The following is a 20,043-nucleotide window of genomic DNA, read 5'->3' on the forward strand; positions in this document are numbered from 1 at the left end:
TTTCTTTAACTATTACAGTAGTACCCTATTTTTCATCTTCACTTAATTGTAAAGATCCTTGGGCACGGATGCTACTTTTACTGGAGCCACTTTAATCATCTCATTTCCTCTTCTAATTGGGCTTCTATTACTATTACTTCATTGTCAACAATCATCCTCCAATGCTGAATTCAATGTTCATGTCTCTTTTTAGTATCCTAAGTAAATACCTGAATCAATTAATTAGTCAGGCAAGTTAGCAAACAACCACAACAATCTCTCCACTCTAGCACTGGTTGGTTTGGCTCTCAGGTAGCCTTAGGTTCACGTTCACAGCTCCCATTCTCCCTGACCCTTTCCCGCAGTACCTACTGGACTCTTTGACTTACCTTGACTGGTTTTCTGAAAGAAAAGCCTCCATGTGGAAGTGTGAATTCCTCCCTGAATGGTTGTTGGTGGAGATGGAAGCTCTGTCCCGAGACAAGACAGTAGGAGAAAGGAAAGCATCGGTGCCCAAGCCAGCAGATTTAGACTCCAAAAAACACAAGCATGTCCCATCCAGCCCAAGGTTGCATATGCTAAGTGACAACAGCCAAGGGGGTACTTACAGATTTGCACATTAGGTGCATTTCCTCTTGTTATTCCAACCCTGAGCAGATCATTTTCCTTTGGGATTTTACCCTGCTCTGAATTGATTTTTTCCCTGTATTCTCTATTCCCAAGACACCATATTAAGCCTGCAGTGAATCCAGTCTTTATTATTCCTTCTCCATGGACTTGTTTGCCTTCCAGAGTTCTAACCTCCTAATGCCTTACTCTATTCCTCATTCCCGAGGGAAGGTTTTCTCCTAAGTCTAAACTAAGGAACTTGTCTTAACTATGTTCCTTGCATCTCCAAGGTATTCACTTGTGATGGGAACACAGCCCTTGATATCTCCAGAATTATCGCTATTTTCCTCTTTAACAAGGGGGTGAACTCTGTTCTGATATAAAACCGTGAGTCCTACATTTCTTGAAATCATGATGCTTTTGCCAAAACAATGAGAAATTTTGTACTTCTTAAAAAGGTTAAGAGCTGTCATTTAATTCTTCATGTATAAAACATCTGGTTACTCTTAAGAGATATATTTGGCTCTTTTCATGCAAGTTGCCCTGAGAATAGCACCTTCTAAAGATTATTTAATTTAATTTTTCAAAATTTATTTATTTAAATTGACAGATAAAATTGTATTTATCACAAAAAACATCACATTTTGAGGTATATATACATTACAGAATGGTTAGGTCTAGCTAATGGATATATGTTTTACCTCACATAGTTATCATTTTTGTAGTGAAAACACTTAACATCCACTCTCTTAACATTTTCCAGAAACACCATATATCATCCTTAAATATAAAATCTTCATGCTATACTATAGATCTGCTGAACGTATTTTTTCTGGCTGCAATTTTGTATCCTTTGACAAACATTTCCCCACTCCTCCTCCCACAACAGCTGTAGCCTCTGGTAGCCACTGTTCTACTCTATAATTCTATGAGATCAACTTTTTTATATTCCATATGATTAAGATCATGTGATATTTGTGTTTCTGTGCCTAGAATATTTCACTTAACATAATGCTCTCTAGGTTCTTTCATTTTGTTGCAAATCACAGTATTTCCTTCTTACACAGGGCTGTATAGTATTCCATTATGTACATATGCCACATTTTAATATCCATTCATCCACTAAGGTACACTTAGATTGACTTCATATCTTGGCTATTGTGACACTGCAATAAACAGGAAAGTGCAGATATCTGTTTAATACACTATTGTCATTTCCATTGGATAAATACCTAGTGGGATCCCTGAGTCGCATTCTATTTTTAACTTTTTGAGGAACGTACATACTGTTTTCCATAATGGCTATACTAATTTACATTCCATGAACAATGTATAAGATTTCCCCTTTCTCCATATCGTTGTCAGCATTTGTTATTTTTCCTGTCTTTTGATAATAGCCCTGTTAGCTGGGATGACGTGGTATCTCATTGTGGATTCAATTTGCATTTCCCTGATAATTCGTGACTTTGAGCACTTTTCATGGACCATTGTATACTTGTATGTCTTCTTTTGAAAAAAGTGTCCTCAGGTCGTTGCCTATTTATTAATCAGATTATTTTTTCCCACTATTGAGTTTTAAAATACATTCTAGATAACCATTTTTCAGATGTTTAGTTTGGAAATATTGTCTCTCATTGTACAGCTTTTCTCTTGGATCTGTCAATTATCTCCTTTGCTGTGCAGAAGATTTTTTAGTTTGATGTCATCCCATTCATCTATTTTTACTTTTGTAATCTATGCTTTTGAAGTTTTATTTTGAAAAATCTTTACCTTGGCTAATTTTATGAAGCTTATCCCATGTATTTTCTTCTAGTAGTTTCATAGTTTTTGGTATTCCATTTAAATATTTATTTCATTTAAAGTTAATTTTTGTATATAGCAAGAAAAGGAATCTAGTTTCCTTTTTCTGAATGTGGATATCCAGTTTTCCCAGTAGCATTCATTAAAAAGACTGTCCTTTCACCAATATGTGTTCTTGGCACTTTTGTCTAAAATCAGTTGGCTGTAAATATGTGTTTATTTATGGGTTTTCGTCTCTGTTCCTTTGGCCCATGTGTATGTTTTTATGCCAGCACGAAGCTGGTTTAGGTACAATAGCTTCATAATATAGTTTGAAGTCAGATAGTGTGATGTCTCCAGCTTTGTTCTTTTGGTTCAACATTGTTTTAGCCATGTAGGGTCTTGGATGGTTCCATATGTATTATACAATTTTTTTTGTATTTCTGTGAAGAATGTCATTGGTATTTTGACAGGGATTGCACTGTGTCTTTTGATCACTTTGGGTATTATGGGCATTTTGATAATATTGTTATTTAGTTATTTATTTACTTTTTGAGACAAAGTCTCACTCTGTTGCCAGACTGAAGGCCAGTGGCACGATCCCCACTCACTGCAACCTCCACCTCCCAGGTTCAAGTGATTCTTGTGCCTCAGCCTCCTGAGTAGCTGGGACACAGGCATCCGCCACCTTGCCTGGATAGTTTTTGTATTTTTAGTAGAGATGGGGTTTTGCCACGTTTGCCAGGCTGGTCTCAAACTCCTGACCTCAGGTGATCTGCCTGCCTTGCCCTCCCCAAATCCTGGGATTATAGGCATGAGCCACCGCACCTGGCCAATTTTGACAATATTAATCAGGAATACATGTTCTACCTTCAGTCCTTGGCAGAGAGCATGTATTCTAAAGTTTTAATGAGAAAATCTTTCATGCATTTGAGGAATATAAAGTGGATTTTGGCATATTCCAGGCACTGTCCAGAAAATGAATGTGTGATGTTATAAAACAAAAGAAGAAAGAGGTAAGAAGGAGAATGTGGATGGAGTGTTATTTTTTATTGGGTGGTCAGGTAAGACCAGTAGACAAGGTGACAACTGAACAGAGACCACAATGAAGACAGGGTGGAGTCACCATGTTCCTTGCAGAAGCGTATGCAAGGCAGAAGGAACGACAATGAAAGACCCTGAGGCGTGTTCTTCTTTCAGATGTTCAAGTCCAACAAGTAAGCCAGTGTGGCAGGCAAACAAGCAAGAGGAGAGGAATGAGAGATGGTTTCAGAGGATATTGAGGAAGGAGTTGGCCTGGAAGCTGCTGAAACCTGAAGACACAAGGAGTCCTTCTGTCCAGATGTTGCATTTGCACTTTATTAATTTGGTTGCAAAGGCGCCCCATGAATTGCAATGAACTTCCTCTTTGTTTCCTGCTGTGGCCTTGAGTTCTGATGTTCATATGATGAGTTATCTTTTGGAATACATAGCCCAGGTTCTCTTTGTCTGAAACTTCTCACCCTAAAGAAACACACACACACACATACACACGGAACACATATACACATCTGACGTTCATATTTTGTGTTGTCATTTGGAATATGTAACTCAGGATCTCTTTGTCTGAAACTTCTTCTCACTCTGAAGCATCATACACACACACACACACATAAACACACACACACACATAGACACATACACACATATATACGGAACACACATACACATCTGCTGTGGCTTCCTGGGTGCATGTTACTCCCATGCCCTTCTCAACACCAATTACAGCATTAGAAAGGAAATGGATACCAGGTAAGATTTGAATAATGAAAATCTAAAACAAACTTATGAAAGAAAAGATATGAAATAAATTACTGACGTGAGTCAGAAATTCAAAATTAAAGTGGCAAACATCTGCAAATAAATGCTCAACCATTGTGGAAGACAGTGTGGCAATTCCTCAGAGATCTAAAGACAGAAATATCCTTCAACCCAGCAATCCCATTCCTGGGTATATACCCATAGGAATATAAATCATTCTATTATAAAGACACATGCACACGTATAGTCATTGCAACACTATTCAAAATAGCAAAGACATGGAGTCAACCTAGATGCCCATGAATGATAGACTGGATAAAGAAAATGTGGTACATATATACCATGGAATACTATGCAGCCATAAAAAAGAACAAGATCATGTCCTTTGCAGCAACATGGTTGGAGTTAGAGGCCATTATCCTTAGCAAACTAACACAGGAACAGAAAATCAAATACCAGATGTTCTCACTTACAAGTGGGAGCTAAATCATGAGAACACACGGACACAGAGAAGGGAAAAACACACTGGGGCCAACTGGAGGGTGGAGGGTGGGAGGAGGGAGATCAGGAAAGATAACTAATGGGTACTAGGCTTAATACCTGGGTGATGAAATAATCTGTACAATAAACCCCCATGACACGTGTTTACCTATGTAACAAAACTGCACATGTACCCCTGAACTTAAAAGTAAAAAAATTAAAATACGCTTTTTTTAGCAGTAGAAGAAACAGTATTTAAAGCCATAATTTCATTCCTATCTAAGTATAAATGGATCCAAATATGCTTACGAAAAAGATCTTAAGTTGAATGTAATTTTAGTTTGTATTCAATTGTAGGTTGTGAGTGCAAAAGAGTATCTTCCACAAGATGGCAGTAGATTACTGCTTTAAAATATAGATCTGCATATTCTCATTTATATGCAGAATCTAAATAATCAAACTCATAGGGATAGAGAGGAGTAAGGCAGTGGTTACCAGGGACTGGAGTATGGGGTGGGGTGGATGCAGAAAGCGGAGACATTAGATAAAGGATATAAAGTTAGCAAGAATGGGTTCTAGTAATCTATTGCACAGCATGATGACTTTAGTTGAGAATAATGTATTATATATTTCCAAAGTGCTAGTATCATAGATTTTAAATGTTCTCAACCACAAAGACATGATAAGTGTATGAAGTGACCGATACATTAATTAGGTTCCTTTAATCATTCTACAATGAATACATATAAAATAACATCTTATCCTGTGTTAGTTTGCTGAGAATGATGGTTTCCAGCTTCATCCATGTCCCTGCAAAGGACATGAACTCATCCTTTTTTATGGCTGCATAGTATTCTATGGTGTATAGGTGCCACATTTACTTTATCCAGTCTACCATTGACGGGCATTTGGGTTGGTTCCAAGTCTTTGCTATCGTGAACAGTGCTGCAATAAACATACGTGTGCATGTGTCTTTATAGTAGAATGATTTATAATCCTTTGGGTATATACCCAGTAATGGGATTGCTAGAAAACCAAACACTGCATGTTCTCACTCACAAGTGGGAGTTGAACAATGAGAACACACGGACACAAGGAGGGGAACATCACACACCGGGGCCTGTCGGTGGGTGGAGGGCTAGCGGAGGGATAGCCTAATGCAGATGATGACGGCTTGATGGGTGCAGCAAACCACCATGGCACGTGTATACCTATGTAACAAACCTACGTGTTCTGCACATGTATCCCAGAACTTGAAGTATAATAAAAAATAAAAATAGAAATAAAAATAAAATAACATCTTACTGCACCCCACAAGAATGCAATGATTTTTGTCAATCAAAACAGAAATTAAAACATTAAATTAAAAATAAAAATAGATCTAATTACAAAAGGAAGCAATAAGCAAAAACAGATGTGAAATAAGATGGAAATACTTATGAAGGATGATATATTTCTAGCAATGATGCAGAAGAATTTTCTAAGTCAAAAAACAATTGGAGAGGTGGGAACAAATTATGACAAACAGATTTGAGCACACAACGCTTATAAACTTTCACACATTTTCCTGATATACACCTCTACATACATAAAAATTAAACATTATTCAGCAAAGTTGGTGAAAAAGCTACAATTTCTTGTTTGAAAGAATGCAGTCAAAAGAATGAAAACATTCAGACGTCAGAACATGAAAGCAGGGAACTTGCATAATTTGCAATAGAGAAAATAAAAAGCAAACAAATCCAGCCTCACCAGAAGAAGAAAATAATTGCAAGCAAAAACTCTTTAGTATTCTCATTTTGACCTATTGTATAACATTTATTTTTCATGTGAATATCCAACATGAAAGAAGAGACTATGAAATGTATGTCTTGTGAACTGCTGTTGCAAGATGGAATTTACAAGTAATCCATTGGTGTGGATCTTTGCAGTTAAGCACAGAAACATGCTCAAATACGCCTCTCTTAAAATTTGTTCCAAAGTCTCTCAATTCATTGCACATCATTCCACACCAAATATTCTACTATCCTGCTTCTTTCACTGCAAAATTTCTAGTATGTGTTGTAATTTACTGGAACCACTTTTTGTCTTCCATTCCTTCTTCAATCTCATCCAAATCAACTTCCTTTATTATCACTTAGTTGTCAGCAATGATCCCTGCATTGCTTAGTATGACAAACACTTCTCTTTTTAACATATTAACTATATTAAATATAAATTAGTCAACCAGGCAAACAAACACACATCAATCTCTCAGCTTGACTTAGGCTAGTTTGGCTTTCAGGTAACACTAGGTAAATATTCTTGACTTATATTGCCTCTGAACATTTTCTGCAGTACCTACTGGGCGGACTCACCTGTATGGGGTCTCAGAGAGGAAGGTCTCCATATGGAAGTCTGAGCTCCTCCCTGGATGCTGATAATGGAGAATGAAGCTCTGTCCCCAGACAAGACAGTAAGAAGAAGTGAAACATCAGCACCTTAGCCAGACATATGTCTACAAACCATTCACATCACATCCAGTCCGAAGCTGTTACAGTCTTAAGGACAATAGCAGATGAAATAGATTTTTACAATTCCCTGTATCTATGCATCAGACAAATTTCCCTTTTTTCACTCCAATCCATGAGCACCTAATCTTTTTTCATCTGTTGACTTTTAAAAAAGTTATTTAAATAGTTTTTTGGGGAACAGGTATTGTTTGGTTACATGAATAAGTTCTTTAGTGATTTCTTTTTTTTTTTTGAGACAGAGTCTCGCTCTGTCGCCCAGGCTGGAGTGCAGTGGCGCGATCTCAGCTCTCTGCAAGCTCCACCTCCCGGGTTCACGCCATTCTTCCGCCTCAGCCTCCTTAGTAGCCGGGACTACAGGCGCCCACCACCACGCTCGGCTAATTTTTTGTATTTTTAGTAGAGACGGGGTTTCACCCTGTTAGCCAGGATGGTCTCGATCTCCTGACCTCGTGATCTGCCCGCCTCGGCCTCCAAAAGTGCAGGGATTACAGGCATGAGCCACCGCGCCCGGCCTTTAGTGGTGATTTCTGAGATTTTGGTGCACTCATCACCTGAGCAGTGTACGCTGTACCCCATGGATAGTCTTTTATTCCCCATCCCCCTCCCACCCTTTCCCCAAGTCCCCAAAATCCATTGTATCATTCTTATGCCTCTGCATCCTCGTAGCTTAGCTCCCACTCATGAGTGAGAACCTATGATGTTTGGTTTTCCATTCCTGAGTTACTTCACTTAAAATAATGGTCTTCAATTTCCATCCAGATTGCTACGAATGCCATCAATTCATCCTTTTCATGGCTGAGTAGTGTCCCACGGTGTGTGTGTGTATATAACAATTTCTTTAGCCACTCATTGTTTGGTGGGCATTTAGGTTGGTTCCATATTTTTGCAATTATGAGTTGCATGAGCACCTGATTTTTCGTTGGACACAGGTCTGGAAAAGAAGAAACATTTTTCTGCTGATTCTGTTCCAAAGAGATCAGGCTAGAAGTCAGGTGAATCCAGACTTCATTACTTCTCTGTGAAATCTCCCACCTGACGATGGTCTAGCCTCCTTAGCACTTTTGCTGAAACTTGAGTTAAAATTGTCTCCAAAGATTAAGACGAAGAATATGTCTTCACCAGGGCCCTTGGAAACTCAACGTATTGACTTCTGGTAAGAACATAGTTTTATTGACATCTCCAGAAAATTGCAATTCCCTCTCCAACAATGGAGATAATGTGTTCATTTGCTATAAAACCATTGATAGTTAGTATAATCCTTGGCTTCCTGATGCTATCGACAAAACAATTAGGAGTTTCATGCTTGTATACACAAGAAAGTGTTGTCATTTAATCCTTAATTTATGAAACATTTGGCTATTGCAAGAGATATAATTACACATTTTATGCACCATGGACTGAAGTTGGAATCTTACATGGTTTGTCTCATTTAATGTCACATGTAATGTGTCTCATTTTTGCACATTCCCATGCTACGAGGAGCCTCTTTCTACATTTGTAGAATTGGGGCTAAGAAGGGTTAAGTGATCTGCCCAGTGTTATGAACTGAGGGAAGGATGAGCTTTGATTGGAACTCCATCAAGATGTTTCTAGTTCTTGGCTGCAGGCGGTGGCTCATCCCAGCACTTTGGGAGGCCGAGGTGGGTGGATCACGAGGTCAGGAGCTCGAGACCAGCCTGGCCAATATGGTGAAACCCCATCTCTAATAAAAATACAAAAAATTAGTTGGGCGTGGTGGCAGGTGCCTGTAGTCCCAGCTACTCGGGAGGCTGAGGCAGGAGAATCGCTTGAACCCAGGAGGCAGAGGTTGCAGTGAGCCAAGATCACACCACTGCACTCCAGCCTGGGTGACAGAGCGAGACTTGGTCTCAAAACAAAACAAAACAAAACAATACAATACAAAACAAAACAAAAAAAACGGTTTCCAGTTCTCACAGTCTCGGTCAGTGGTTCTCAACCAGGGATGATTGTCCTTCCATGAGACACTTGGAAATGTCTGGATACATTTTTTGTTGTTGTCACCTAGGGAGGTGCTACTGGAACCTAGTGGATTAAAGCCAGGGATTGCTGTTCAACATCTCACAATGCACAGAACAGTCTACACCAGAAGTATCCATAAACATGTTAACCTTGGAGAGGTTGAGAGAATGTTTTGGAAAAGAATATACTCAAATTGAAAGTTTTTATAATTCATTTGGGACCTTGTTCAAATGCAGATTCTGATTTGGGACATTGAGGGTAGGCAGAAACGTTGTGCATTTGTGGCTGTTTCCCTGTTGATGGTGATGCTGTTCATTCTGTTCTGTGAAGCACTCTTTGAGGATCCAGTGTTAGAGTCAAAGAAAACTACTTTTAAACCTTTTTCACCAAGAATCGTACCACATACCTCATGTCTGCCTTTAGGAGGTCAAATGTTTCCCTCAGTGGCTCAGCTTCTGCAGAAACAAGTTTATACAAGCCTCTTGAGTACTTCCCTCACAGTAGGATAAAAAACTTTTAGAAATTCCACCCACCTTGTAGAATTTATGTGAGAAGTAAGTAACAGTTTTTTAAAATTTTACTTTAAGTTCTGGGATACATGTGCAGAACATGCAGATTTGTTACACATAGGTATACATGTGCCATGGTGGTTTGCAGCACCTATCAACCCGTCATCTAGGTTTTAAGCCCCGCATGCATTAAGTATTTGTCCTAATGCTCCCCCTCCCCTTTCCTCCCCAACCCTGCCAACAGTCCCCAGTGTATGATGTTCCCCTCCCTGTGTCCATGTGTTCTTACTGTTCAACTCCTACCTATGAGTGAGAACATGTGGTGTCTGGTTTTCTGTTCCTGTGTTAGTTTGCTGAGGATGATGGTTTCCAGTTTCAGGACATAGGCATGGTCCAAGACTTCATGACTGAAACAACAAAAGCAATGGTAACAAAAGCCAAAATGGACAAATAGGATCTAATTAAACTAAAGAGCTTCTGCACAGCAAAAGAAACTATCATCAGATTGAACAGGCAACCTACAGAACAGGAGAACATTTTTGCAATCTATCCACCTGACAAAGGTCTAATATCCAGAGTCTACAAGGAACTTAAACAAATTTGCAAGAAAAAAACAAATAACTCCATCAAAAAGTGGGGGAAGGATATGAACAGCAATAACAGTTTAAAGCTCACTGGAAATTCCTTGGCACAGAGGAGCTGTTCAATGGAGAGCAGCTATAGTGACTAGGTTCCAACTCCCCATTTCCTAGGCTCATGGTGACACCAGAATGGTGTTTGGGGACAGGAAGTGAGTCTAGCATTGCCCTGCTCCTGGGAGGCAGCAAGTTGTGATCATGAAGGAGGACTTCTACCTAAGGCCCTGTATAGGGAGAAGAGAACTTGAGAGGCCATCATTCTATACTTTGTTGAATTCAGGGACATCATCTGTGTTACTCTTATGTTCCCTCCAAATAGTCATATTAAGGAATTTTTAGACTCTTTCAAGCTGTTCTACTATCTTCTTCTCTTAGGAATATCTATAAAGCTGATGTTTCTTGGTGGATCATATTAATCCTCTAGCTCTTCTGGGAACTCCTCCAAGTCTTCATAGAAATCTTATCTTACTTGTTGAAAGTCTATAGAATGTAATTCATAAACACTTAATGTTAACAGAAGTGCACAATATTTGCATGTCTGTTTCACCCCCAGATAGATAATTTTTATTTTTTACTTATTTATTGAGTCCTCTATTGTCTTTATGACAATTGTCATTCTCCATCCTTGGCTCTGGGTCTTGATGATACCTCATTTGGGAAGAATCTATGTCCCTGAAATGGTTGACATTGAGCTTGAACATAAGACTGCTTTTTCTATCAGGATTTGAGCAGTCATGAGATGTTCAGTATTAAGAAGAAATAAGAGTTATTGTGAGATCCCACCACTTCTACTGATCTTCCTCTCCATTCACCATGTCCAAAATTGAAAAAACGAACTAGATTTGGATGGTCCTGTGGACTCAATGTTTTTGTCTCCTCCAGTATTCATATGTATTAATCCTTATTATAAAATCTTCTTTAGTATAGCTCCCTATGTGGAAATAAAAGCATGTCATTAAACCTTTTTCTATTAGTATACCTTGTTATGCAGCAGTAGCTTAATGATACAATCAATGCAAGCAGAACAAAAGAATTCAGAATAATTTAATGCCTCTTATTTTTGGACATTTGTTCTGATATTTAAAGGCAGCATTCATGTTTATTTCAGATAACTGTATAAAAAATGAGACTACCTATTAGATTCCCTTCTAGGGAGCTAGAATATTTTGAAAGAACGTGTATGTATTTGTAGATATAAATTGTGATTCTGATTCACAAGTCTCTATTCTCCAAGCCAATGCTGGTTAGAAATTCAGGTTCCTTTGTGAGTCATCATTTGATTATAAGGGTTGAAGAGAGTTAGAGTATAAAAGAGACAAATGAACTGATGATAAGTTAAATACACACATTGTTCACTTACCTACATTTTAATGGCTAAGACACAATATTTTAAAAGGAAGATTTTAAGCAGGACAACAGAAGGAGTCTTATTTGTGTGTAGCACTGTAAATTTTTAAGCAGAAACAGTAAAATGATATAATGAAATTACATAGACTGTGATTCCAAATCCTTCCCTTGGACTAACAAACCTCATTACAAATGGGCACCAAGCCTCTATAAGTAGATGTATATCATCAGATCAAATCTCCCAATGCAATTCAATGTATGACTGATTTTTTTTTTTGAGATGGAGTCTCTGTCACCCAGGCTGGAGTGCAGTGGTGTGATCTCAGCTCACTGCAACCTCCACCTCCCAGGTTCAAGTGATTCTCCTGCCTCAGCCTCCTGAGTAGCTGGGATTACAGGCATGTGCCACCATGCCCGGCTAATTTTTGCATTTTTAGTAGAGACAGGGTTTCACCATGTTGGCCAGCCTGGTCTTGAACTCCTGACTTCAGGTAATCCACTTGCCTCAGCCTCCCAAAGTTCTGGGATTACAGGCGTGAGCCACCATGCCGGGCCAAAAATTTTACTCCATCTTTTTTTCTTTTATATTTTTGTGGGTACATAGTAGATGTATATACTTATGGGGTACATGAGATGTTTTGATACAGGCATGCGTTATATAATAATCACATCATGGTGAATGGGGTACCCACCCCATTAAGCATTTATTCTTTCAGTTATGAATAAATTTTTTAATCCATATTCTTTCAGGTGTTTTTGTAATCTAAGTCCAGATGAAATCAATTGATTCACACAAATTTATTTTTCTGTGCAGACTACACTTGAAGTGTGAATTTGATAGGCAATTTTTTTTTTTTTGAGATGGAGTTTCGCTCTTGTTGCCCAGACTGGAGGGCAATGCTGTGATCTCGGCTCACTGCAACCTCCGTCTCCCGGGTTCAAACCATTCTCCTGCCTCAGTCTCCTGCGTAGCTGGGATTACAGGCATGCGCCACCACGCCCAGCTAATTTTGTATTTTTGGTAGAGACGGGGTTTCTCCCTGTTGGTCAGCCTGGTCTCCAACTCCCTACCTCAGGTGATCCGCCCGCCTTGGCCTCCCAAAGTGCTGGGATTACAGGCCTGAGCCACCGTGCCTGCACTTGATAGGAAATTTTTACCTTCTTACTCTTTCCAGGGAATTGAGCAGGCACGGTGGACACTGAACTGAATAGAGGACAGGACCCTAATGAGTAGGATAAAATGCCATGATGACAGCACTTTGGGGGGCCGAGGCAGGCGGATCCCCTGAGGGTAGGAGTTCGAGACCAGCCTGGCCAACATGGTGAAACCCCTTCCCTACTAAAAATACAAAAATTAGCCGGGCATGGTGGTACATGCCTGTAATCCCAGCTCCTTGGGAGGCTGAGGCAGGAGAATTGCTTGAACCCAGGAGGCAGAGGTTGCAGTGAGCTGAGATGATGCCACTGCACTTCAGCCTGGGTGACAGAGCGAGACTCCATCTAAAAAAATAAATGCCATGATGAGCTAAAATGCACACTCGTGTGGGGTAAAGTTTACATGACCAGGAAGAACACTTAAGGTGGTGGTGGAGAAAGGAATAAGCTCAAAGTGAAAAACTGTCTTCTCAGATATTTATCTAAAATAAAATTATATTAATGACCTTATGGCTGCCAGGTGCAATTGATTCTGCAGGACTAATGCAACCCACAAGTGTAGGAGAAAAATAGGAATCTCCACCTTGTTTCTGACCCTAGTTTGGGAAAAACATTGGGAAAGTAGGAAAATGACAAAAAAAAAAAAAAAAAAAAGATTGGATATCAGAGAGCGGAAAGCTTTATAAAGGAATACATTAAATTCTATGTCAGTTGAGATCAAAGAAATTGAAACTCTGAGAAAAAATAGAAGGAGCAAATTCCACTTTCACAACCTGATTCGTGAATCACAATTTCTGAGTATGAGACTTAAAGCTCTGAAATCACAGTTATTTCTTGAAAAATGGCCCTTTTATTGCTTTCCTCTGAAGGACATTTTCAGAGCCCTCTTTATGTCTTTATTCCTCAGACTGTAGATAAAGGGGTTCAGCATGGGGGTGGCCACAGTGTACATCACTGAGGCTGTTGCACTTGTGTGTGAGTTGTGGGTTGCAGCAGAAGTAAGGTACACACCTAGGCCCGTACAACAAAATAAAGAGACAACTGAGAGGTGTGATGCACAGGTGGAAAATGCCTTGTACTTCCCCTGAGCTGATGAGATTGCACGTATGGAGGAAACTATCTTAGAGTAAGAGCAAAGGATCCCCACAAGGGGACCACCAGCCAGCAGCCCTGCTGCAAAATACATCCCCATGTCATTAAGAAAGGTGTCAGAACAGGCAAGGTGGATGACCTGATTAAGTTCACAGAAAAAGTGGGGGATTTCCAAGTCTGTGCAGAAGGACAGCCACAATACCATTAAGCTTTGTGACAAGGAATTCAGGGCAGCAATCATCCAGGATGCCAGAACCAGGAGTCCACAGAGCCGAGGGTTCATGATGACTGTGTAGTGCAGAGGATGACAGATGGCCACAAACCGATCATAGGCCATCACAGCCAGGAGTAAGCTGTCTAACCCTCCAAAAAGTACAAAAAAGCACATCTGGGTGATGCAGCCTGCATAGGTGATGACTCTGCTCTGTGTCTGGATGTTAATGAGCATCTTTGGGATTGTAGTGGAGATGAAACAGATGTCTGCAAAGGACAGGTTGGAGAGGAAGAAGTACATGGGGGTGTGGAGGTGGGAGTCTGAGATTGTGGCCAGGATGATGAGCAGATTCCCGAGCACAGTGACCAGGTACATGGACAGAAACAGCCCAAAGAGGAAGGGCTGCAATTCTGGTTCCTCAGAAAGTCCCAGAAGAACAAATTCTGAAATCCCTGTGTCATTCTCTGGTTCCATCTTTTTTTTTCTATTTATTTATTTATTTATTTATTTATTTATTTATTTATTAACATAGACAGGGTCTCTCACTCTGTTGCCAACGCTGGTCTGAACCTCCTGGACTCATGCGATCCTCCCACTTCAGCCTACAAAAGTGCTGAGATTATAGGCATAAGCCATTGTGCCCAGGCTTGGTTGCATCTTTTCAATGTGACTACCAAAAAGAGAGAGAATATGACAATGTAATTATGCATTACAAACCTATCAGAAATTCTCTCATTTATACTCCGGAGTCAAGAACTTATTTTTCCTTTAAAAATTATTTATTTCTATGGTGACAGATAAAATGGTATGCATTTATCATGTATAACATCACATGTGGAAGTATATTTACATTGTGGATTGGCTAAATCTAGCCAATTAACATTAGTATTACCTCATATAGTCATCATTCTTGTGGCGAGAACACTTAACATCCATTTTCTTGGCATTTTCCAATAATTCAATATATCATCATGAACTATATTCACCATGCTGTAAAATAAATATTTTGAAGTTATTCCTTCTATCTAATTATCATCTTGTATCCCTTGACTGACATCACCTCAAGCCTCCATACCAATTGCCCTGGCCTCTAGTAATCTCCATTCTACAAGAAGCTGTTTTCTATGTTTTGTGTGTAAATCTGGTCCCTGTTAGAAGATCTCCTTGCCATCTCTGATTAGGAATTCCTAGACCACGCTCTCTCGCTCTCTCTCTCTCTCTCTCTCAGCCTTTCCCTGAGGGCATGTATTCTACAGTATCATTAAAGAGAAAAATCATTCATGCATTTGTGGAATAAAAAATGAGTTGATGTTCAGGGTACTGTATAGATAATGAGTCAATGGTGCTATAAAACAGAGTCCCTACAATCAAATAACGGGAACAAATACATATATACTATGTCAGTTGGTGATTAGTCCTATGAATAAAAAGGATAAAAAGTGTTACTTTTAATAGGTGTACAGACAAGATCAGCAGACAAGCTAAAAACTGAACAGAGAGCAGAATGAAGACAGGGCGAGAGTCATCATGTCCCTTGCTGGAGTCTGTGCAAGGGGAAGGAAGGCTCAGTGGAAGACTTCACAGAATGTGCTTCTTTCAGATGTTCAAGGTGCTCAAGGAAGCCAGTGTGTCAGGGGAATGTACAGGAAGAGAGTGATGAGAGATGGTTTCAGAAGATGTTGTGGGATGAGGTGGCCTTGAAGCTGCTGAAACTTAAAGACACAAGGAGTCCGTCTGACCAGATGCTGTTGCATTTGCATTTTATTAATTTGCCTGCGAAGGCATCTCAGTATGTGTAATGCATCCCCTCTTTTTTTCCCGCCGTGTCTTTGACTTCTGGCTTTTCTATTATGAGATACCTTTTGGAATACAGAGCCCAAATCCCCTTTCTCTGCAACCTGCTTTTATGCTAAAGGTGCGTGCGCGCACGCACACACACACACATTGCCTACATGCACGCAGCACACTGTAGCTCCCTGGAGCCATGTTACTCTTGTGCTTTTCTCACCCTGGTTACACTGTTAGAAAGAAACGAATACCAGGCAAGTTGTCAATTTCAAATTATCTTTCCCCACGAGAATTCAGAAATGGTCTGATAGCATGTGAGACAGCCTTCTCATTTCTCTTCTTTAATTATTCATGTGGCATCTCTTCTTTAATTATTCAGGGTCTTTGGGATTTGAACTCTTTTTGACAGTCCTATGGAATTGCACTAGTTCTGGTTCTGGTCTTCCTGTAACATGCAATGTCCTTCCTAGACCATACTATTGAATCCTGGCTGGGCACCGTGGCTCACGCCTCTAATTCCAGCACTTTGGGAGGCTGAGGTGGGTAGATCAATTGTGGTCAGGAGTTCGAGACCAGCCTGGCCTATGTGGCGAAGCCCCGTCTGTACTAAAAATACAAAAATTAGCCAGGTGTGGAGGCAGGTGGCTGTAATCCCAGCTACTCGGGGGGCTGAGGTAGGAGAATCGCTTGAACCTGGGAGGCGGAGGTTGCAGTGAGCTGAGATTGTGCCATTGCACTCCAGCCTGGGCAACAAGAGCGAAACTCTGTCTCAAAAAAAGAAAAAAAAAAAGAAAAAAATCCTGCACACACTATGATAACTGTCTCCTTTTCTGCAGAATGAAATTCTCCATATGATTTCATCCTTGAGGACATTGTGTCATAGACACATTTGTTACATTTTACTTTGTCTTCTCTGTTATAATGCATGAGTCAAATGAGCAGGAACTTCCCTGCTTTAAGTTTGTATTTTCACAAAGGTGTATGAGTATGTCTGTATTATGTAGAAAAAAATTAAAGCAATGAGACGTGATAAAATAAAAAGAATGTTATGGGATTAAAGCCAGGGTAAATGTAGTGATTTCCAAACAACTATATTTTTTAAATGTTATGGTACATAAAACGTTAACCAAGCCAAGATAAACAATAAGAATAATTTAATGATATCAAATGATTTAGTTTATTGGCAAAGACCTAGACATAAAATTATATAATACACAATGTTTCTAAAATGTTCTGGCACATAGAAGATACTCTCGACTTATTGAATAAGTCAGGAAGTAAGTCCTAGTATATATGGGTATTAAAATATGACAAGATTGCAATCCAATTTAGTTGCAAAAGACCAGATTGTTGAATAAAAGCAGAAATAAATAGCTATCTACCTGGGAGAAAATGAAGTGTGTCTCCCGACTCACATTTTACAAAGAATTAGCAGATTTAAAGACCTCAGTGTAAAAGTCAGCAATATATGTTAGACGAATACATAGATAACTACATATAAGATCTTAGTGTAGACAAAGTATTTTAACTAACGCAAGAAAAAAAACTAAGAAAGTAGACATATTTTTAGGTAAATAAAAGTTAAAACTTTTTATGACCAAAAATGTTTCCTTAAATATTTCATTAACAGTCAATGAGGAGGGCAATATAATTGGATCACAGCTGTAATCCCAGTGCTTTGGGAGGCTGAGTAGGGAGGTCACCTGAAGCCAGGATTTTGAGAACAGCCGGGGCATCATAGTGAGAACCAGGCTCTAAAAAGTAAACCAAAAAAGTTAACGATCCCAAAGAAATACAAACTCCCATCAGAGAATACTATAAACACCTCTATGCAAATAAGCTAGAAAATCTAGAAGAAATGGATAAATTCCTGGACACATACACCCTCTCAAGACTAAACCAGGAAGAAGTCAAATCCCTAAATAGACCAATAACAAGTTCTGAAATTGAGGCAGTAATTAATAGCCTACCAACCAAAAAGAGGCCCAGGACCAGTCAGTTTCACAGCTGAATTCTGCCGGAGGTACAGAGAGGACCTGGTATCACTCCTTCTGAAACGATTTCAAACAATGGAAAAAGAGGGACTCCTCCCCAGCTCAATTTATGAGGCCAGCATCATCCTGATACCAAAACCTGGCAGAGACACAACAAAAAAAGAGAAAATTTCAGGCCAATATCCCTGATGAACATCAATGTGAAAATCCTCAGTAAAATACTGGCAAACTGAATCCAGCAGCACATCAAAAAGCTTATCCAGCATCATCAAGTCGGCTTCATCCCTGGGATGCCAGGCTGGTTCAACATATGCAAATCAATAAATGTAATCCATCACATAAATAGAACCAATGACAAAAACTACATGATTATCTCAATAGATGCAGAAAAGTCCTCCGATAAAATTCAACTCCCCTTCATGCTAAAAACTCTCAGTAAACTAGGTATTGATGGAACATAACTCAAAATAATCAGAGCTATTTATGACATACCCACAGCCAATATCATACTGAATAGGCAAAAGCTGGAAGCATTCCCTTTGAAAACTGGCACAAGACAAGTGTGCCCTCTCTCACCACTCCTATTCAACATAGTGTTGGAAGTTCTGGCCAGGGCAATCAGGCAAGAGAAGGAAGTAAAGGGTATTCAAATACAAAGAGAGGAAGTCAAATTGTCTCTGTTTGCAGATGACATGATTGTATATTTAGGAAACCCCATCGTCTCAGCCCAAAATCTCCTTAAGCTGATAAGCAACTTCAGCAAAATCTCAGGATACAAAATCAATGTGCAAAAATCACAAGCATTCCTATACAGCAATAATAGACAGAGAGCCAAATCATGAGTGAACTCCCATTCACAATTGCTACAAAGAGAATAAAATACCTAGGAATATAACCTACAAGGGATGTGAAGGACTTCTTCAAGGAGAACTACAAACCACAGCTCAAGGAAATAAGAGAGGACACAAACAAATGGAAAAACATTCCATGCTCATGGAAAGGAAGAATCAATATCTTGAAAATGGCCATACTGCCCAAAGTAATTTATAGATTCAATGCTATCCCCATCAAGCTAACATTGACTTTCTTTACAGAGTTACAAAAACTACTTTAAATTTCATATAGAACCAAAAAATAGCCCGTATAGCCAAGACATTTCTAAGCAAAAGGAACAAAGCTGGAGGAAATGATTGGCTCTCAGGTGACCTCAGGTTAATATTCACGGCTCTTGTTCTTCCTGACCTTTCCTACAGTACCCACTGGGCTCTGGGACTTACCCTACTGAGTTTTCTGAAAGGAAGGTCTCCATGGAGAAGTGTAAATTCCTCTCTAGCAGGTTGATGGTGGAGATGGAATCTCTGTCTCAAGACAAGGCATCAGGAAAAGTTGAAGCATCATCTATACTTGAGCCAGACTAAGGACTCCAAATGAAACCACCATGTCATTTCCAGCCCAAGGTTGCATATGCTGAGGGACTGCAGCAGAGGAGATATTTATGGCTTCGTATATCTGCTGATTAGATACCTTTCCTCCTGTTATTCCAACTCTGAACACATCAGTTTCCTGGGGGACGTTGCCCTGCACTGAAACAAATGTCATTGTTGTTTTTTTTTTCTGTATCGTCTATTCCCAAGACACTATGTTAAAAGTGAGGTGTATCCAGGCTTTATTACTCCTTCCCCGTGGACTTCCTTGGCTTCCAGAGTCCCATTCTCCTAGCACCTTCTCCCAGCCTTCAGTGAAAATTTCCTCCAAAGTCTAAACTGAGGAACCTGTCTTGACTAGGTCCCTTGAGTCTCCAAAGCACTGGCTTGTGATGGAAACTCAGCTCTTGACATATCCAGAAAATGGCAATTTACCTTTGCAAGGAGATGAACTGTGTTCTGTTCATATAAAACCATGGGTACTACATTTCTTGGCTTCATGTTGCTTTTGCCAAAACATTAGAATTTCATATATATATTTTTTTGAGATGGAGTCTTGTTGTATCACCTGAGCTGGAGTGCAAAAACATTAGCCGGGTGTGGTGGCAGTTGCCTGTAATCCCAGCTATGCAGGAGGCTGAGGCAGGAGAATTGCTTGAACCCGGGAGGTGGAGGTTGCAGTGAGCCAATATGGCGCCATTTCTCTCCAGCCTGGGTAATAAGAACAAAACTCCATCTCACT

The 20,043-nt window shown here is 39.6% G+C and overlaps 1 protein-coding gene across 1 annotated transcript; it reads right to left on the reverse strand.

Moving 5' to 3' along the window:
* Nucleotides 1-11,416: 11,416 nt before the first annotated feature.
* On the reverse strand, nt 11,417-19,346 carry OR7A17 (olfactory receptor family 7 subfamily A member 17). The gene is made up of 3 exons (NM_030901.2): nt 19,155-19,346; nt 14,988-15,085; nt 11,417-14,765 (listed from the first exon to the last, which is right to left on the reverse strand). The coding sequence occupies exon 3, from the start codon at nt 14,567-14,569 to the stop codon at nt 13,640-13,642; it is 930 nt and encodes a 309-aa protein (NP_112163.1). The 5' UTR covers nt 14,570-14,765; nt 14,988-15,085; nt 19,155-19,346; the 3' UTR covers nt 11,417-13,639.

The sequence above is a fragment of the Homo sapiens genome, chromosome 19 (genome assembly GCF_000001405.40).
Source record: "Homo sapiens chromosome 19, GRCh38.p14 Primary Assembly".
NCBI lineage: Eukaryota > Metazoa > Chordata > Mammalia > Primates > Hominidae > Homo > Homo sapiens.